The sequence below is a fragment of the Homo sapiens genome, chromosome 10 (assembly GCF_000001405.40).
Source record: "Homo sapiens chromosome 10, GRCh38.p14 Primary Assembly".
Taxonomy (NCBI): Eukaryota; Metazoa; Chordata; class Mammalia; order Primates; family Hominidae; genus Homo; species Homo sapiens.
The window spans coordinates 20,549,924-20,553,738 of record NC_000010.11 but is presented as its reverse complement, the minus strand read 5'-3'; the positions used below and the strand labels follow the sequence as shown (position 1 = coordinate 20,553,738).

At 40.4% G+C, this 3,815-nt stretch overlaps 1 non-coding gene across 1 annotated transcript; it reads right to left on the bottom strand.

The window, feature by feature from the left end:
- Positions 1-1,692: 1,692 nt before the first annotated feature.
- On the bottom strand, positions 1,693-1,769 carry MIR4675 (microRNA 4675). Its single transcript, NR_039822.1, has one exon. It is a non-coding gene; the product is annotated as a microRNA 4675 (primary transcript).
- Between the last annotated feature and the right edge of the window lie 2,046 nt (positions 1,770-3,815).

The window sequence follows — 3,815 nt, the reverse complement described above, 5'->3', positions numbered from 1 at the left end:
GTTATTATTGCCTGATACCAAGGCAACATTGATTGAGGTAAAAGATGTACCAGCTGCAATCAGAACCATGTTGACAGGTATTTATAAACACACTGACACTGAAGGCATCTCCTGATAGCTTTTCAAATTAAGATATTTTGTTATTGCTGATGCATCAGATAGAATTTTTTTTTTGCCTCTCCAGCAGCCATTTCCATTCTCCCTCCCTTGGTAGCTTACAACCAGTTTTGTCCAAACCTTTGCCACCTTGTGCTTCATGGGAGCTGATGTCTTCACAGCCCTAGATAATGAATCTTAATTAACATTAGTCAGTCATGGGAAGTCTATTATTCTATCCAGTGGTTGGCCTACGGAAAGGCAGACAACAGAATTCTGGCCAATGAGACAGAAGGAATTATCTTCTTCTCATTCTTGCAAGGAATCTGAGAAAAGGGCCTACTTTCTTCCATTCTTTGGACACGTGTGAAGATGTGATGCTTGGATCTGTGGTAGCCATATTGTGGCAGCCATATTTTAAGCAGGAGGTGGTAGCCATACTGTGACCAGGAAGTGACAAGTCTGAGTGCAAAAGCCAATGCAATGACAAAAGAGAAGGGTGGAAAGAACTGAGTCCCTGGTGGTGTATTTGAGCTACTGAATCAACCAACGCTGTGAGGGCCTTACTGGTAGACTCTAAAAAAAAAAAAAAAAAAAGAAGATAATAAGTAAAGTTCCTGTATTGGTTCAGCCACTTGAATTTTGTCCTCCATAACCTTCAGCTGAATTCATCCTAAGTGAAGCTATTGATTTCAAGATTTAAGGAGAGCTTTTCCAGCATTACAGGCTACTTTAATGTTATACTTTACTGTGACTTCTCAAGCTACTGTTAAAAGATGTTGTAAATTCTGTTACTGATTTTTAAAGATGAAAATGCCCAGGCTAATAAGAAATGATATCAAGTGCAAATTTCTTTATTCAGTATAGATTTATTTTTTAAAAATAAGCACTCTTGAGAATTTGACCTGGTTAACGTTACCTCTCCAAACCACAGACAAGCTTTTTTTTTTTTTTTTTTTTTTTTTTTTTTTAATAGCTTTCAGTTCCAGACCCGACCTACTATCATGATTGATGACAGAGGATTTTTCTAGCATACTTGCTTTGTGGGTCACATGAGCTGAAGAAATTTCCACATCGGCTTTCATTTTGAAATATGTTGCAGGAAGAATGTGGCAAGTGTTTTCAGCTATTCTTACTTGTATATATTTAACACCCATTTTAGAAAAGATATATTTAGTAATTCCAACTTATTTATGACTGAAAGAATAATGATAGTGAGAATAATTATTCTGACTTTAGTAAATATTTGTTGGATACTTGTAATGTACCAGGGATTCCAGGGAGGAAGTGTAACATAATGCCAAAAAATAAGGGCTCCAGTCTCAAACAGATGTGGATTGTGGCCTTGAAAGGTATTGTGCATTTCCCAGAAAGGAACACTGAAATGGGAGAATGTGTTCCCCACTTGATTCCAAGGGTGAGTAGCCGGGATTTCCTTTCCTTTGCAGGAATTTCTCCTGGGAGAAGGTAAAGCTCCTTGCCCACACCCTATTTCTCTCCAGGTAAGTGGTTTTCCTGACATGGGAAGAACTATGCCATGGTTGAGTAAGTCGCTTCTACTCTCCTTTTGCTTGGAGAGGGCTCTAAGACTCAGTGCATGAGAAGTCCTGCTGGTCAATCACAGCCCCGGAGAGTCTGACCAGGGCTATGGTTGACCAGCAGGATTTCTCATGGAGTGAGTCTGTCCAATTCAGCCTAGATTTTATCAGTTATAAAGCTGACTTTTTAATCTTCATAAATCTAACTCCTGCATGCCTTTCAGTTGAATCTGAACTCCTGTGAGGGTGGAGCTATTGTCCCTAGAAGCCCTATGAAACACTAGATTAGATGCCATGCTGCTTTTTTTGCACATAATATCAGGTGGCAGGGTTGCCATGGGAAGGGGGCAGGTATCTTTCTCATTTTGATTTTTTTCCCTAAAAATGTGTACAAAATCCCTTGTCTCTGTCTCTTGGAACCAATAGTTCTCTTACAAATTGACTCCTGGAAACCTTACCTTCCTATTCATTAGATAGGATCTGAAATCTGCCACAATGGCAACAAAAGCAATTGCTGCTGTTTTCTGCAACCTCACTAAATGCTAGGTAGGGGTGTCTCACAATTGTATGTGAGATGAAGTGACATGTCAAAGCCAAGCAGAATTCTGCAAAGTTCTCACTGCATGTGCAGCTAGTTCTGCTAGTGTTCTGAAAGAAGCACAGGCATAGGAACATTGTTCCACAGAGCCTAGGCAGGAGTGAAAATGTCAAGCACTGCCCTCGGTAGCTGTGACTGCAAGGATGTTAACTAATGGGCAAAGAGGGGAAAAATATAAAAGTGGAATGTTGGTGAACACATATAAAACACCTCACTTACATCCAGCAATACTTGGAGGAGAAATTTTAGGAGGTGATTTTGGGTTATGCAATTTAAGAGCTAAGATCAGCATGATATTAATGTGACCCCAATATGACTCATGGGCTGGAAAGAATAAGGGAGGGTGGACTGCAGTAAAAATTGTCATGTTGATATGCTGGTGTCATAATGCTGGGTATGAATTCAATTTTGGAACATTATCATGAGTTTTTGTGCTTAGGTTTGAACATAACTTTTATTTATTTCCTATTCTTAGAAAGTACCTTAAATTGTATCACTAGAGCATCAGGGATCTTTCCTCTTGCCTACCGGCAAGTCTTGTAAAAGAATCATTCGGATCATAGGCCTTGAGAATGGTTCTGATCCATTTCCTGAAGCCCAGCCTGCCATACTTTTTGGAGGGGATGTGGGGTAGGATTCCCAGCTAACCCCAGCACAAGTGCCTTCATATCCACCATCACACCCCCATCATACTCGAATCACACCTGCATCATGCCCACATTGTACTCTCATCACACCTGTCATCATACCTTCATCATACTCCCATTACACCTGCCATTGTACCGCCATAATACTCCCATTACATTTACCACATACTCACATCATAATCCCACCACACCTGCCATCATATACCCACAATACCACCCATGACATCTGTCATCATACCCACATCATAGTCTCATTACATCTGCCATTGTACCGCCATAATACTCCCATCACATTTGCTATATACCCACATCATAATCCCACCACACGTGCCATCAAATACTCACAATGTTACCTTAACATCTGTCATCATACCCACATTATACTCTCATCACACCTGCCATTATACCTTTGTCATACTCCCATCACACCTGCCATTGTACCACCGTAATATGGCCATCACATTTACCATATACCCACATCATAATCCCACCACACCTGCCGTCATATACTCACAATTCTACCATGAAATCTGTCATCACACCCACATCATACTCTCATTACACTTGCCATTATACCTTCATCATACTCCCATCATGACTGCCATTGTACCACCATAATACTCCCATCACATTTACCATATACCCACATCAAAATCCCACTACACCTGCCATCATATACCCACAATGCTACCATGACATCTGCCATCATACCTACATCATACTCTCATCACACCTGCCATTATACCCACATCACAATCACATCACACCTGCCATTATACATTCATCATACTCCCATCATATCTGCCATTATACATTCATCATACTCCCATCATATCTGCCATTATATGCCCATCATACTACCATCAAATCTGCCATTATACCCTCAGTATACCCCTATTACATCTGCTATCACACTCCCATCACACCTGCAATTAT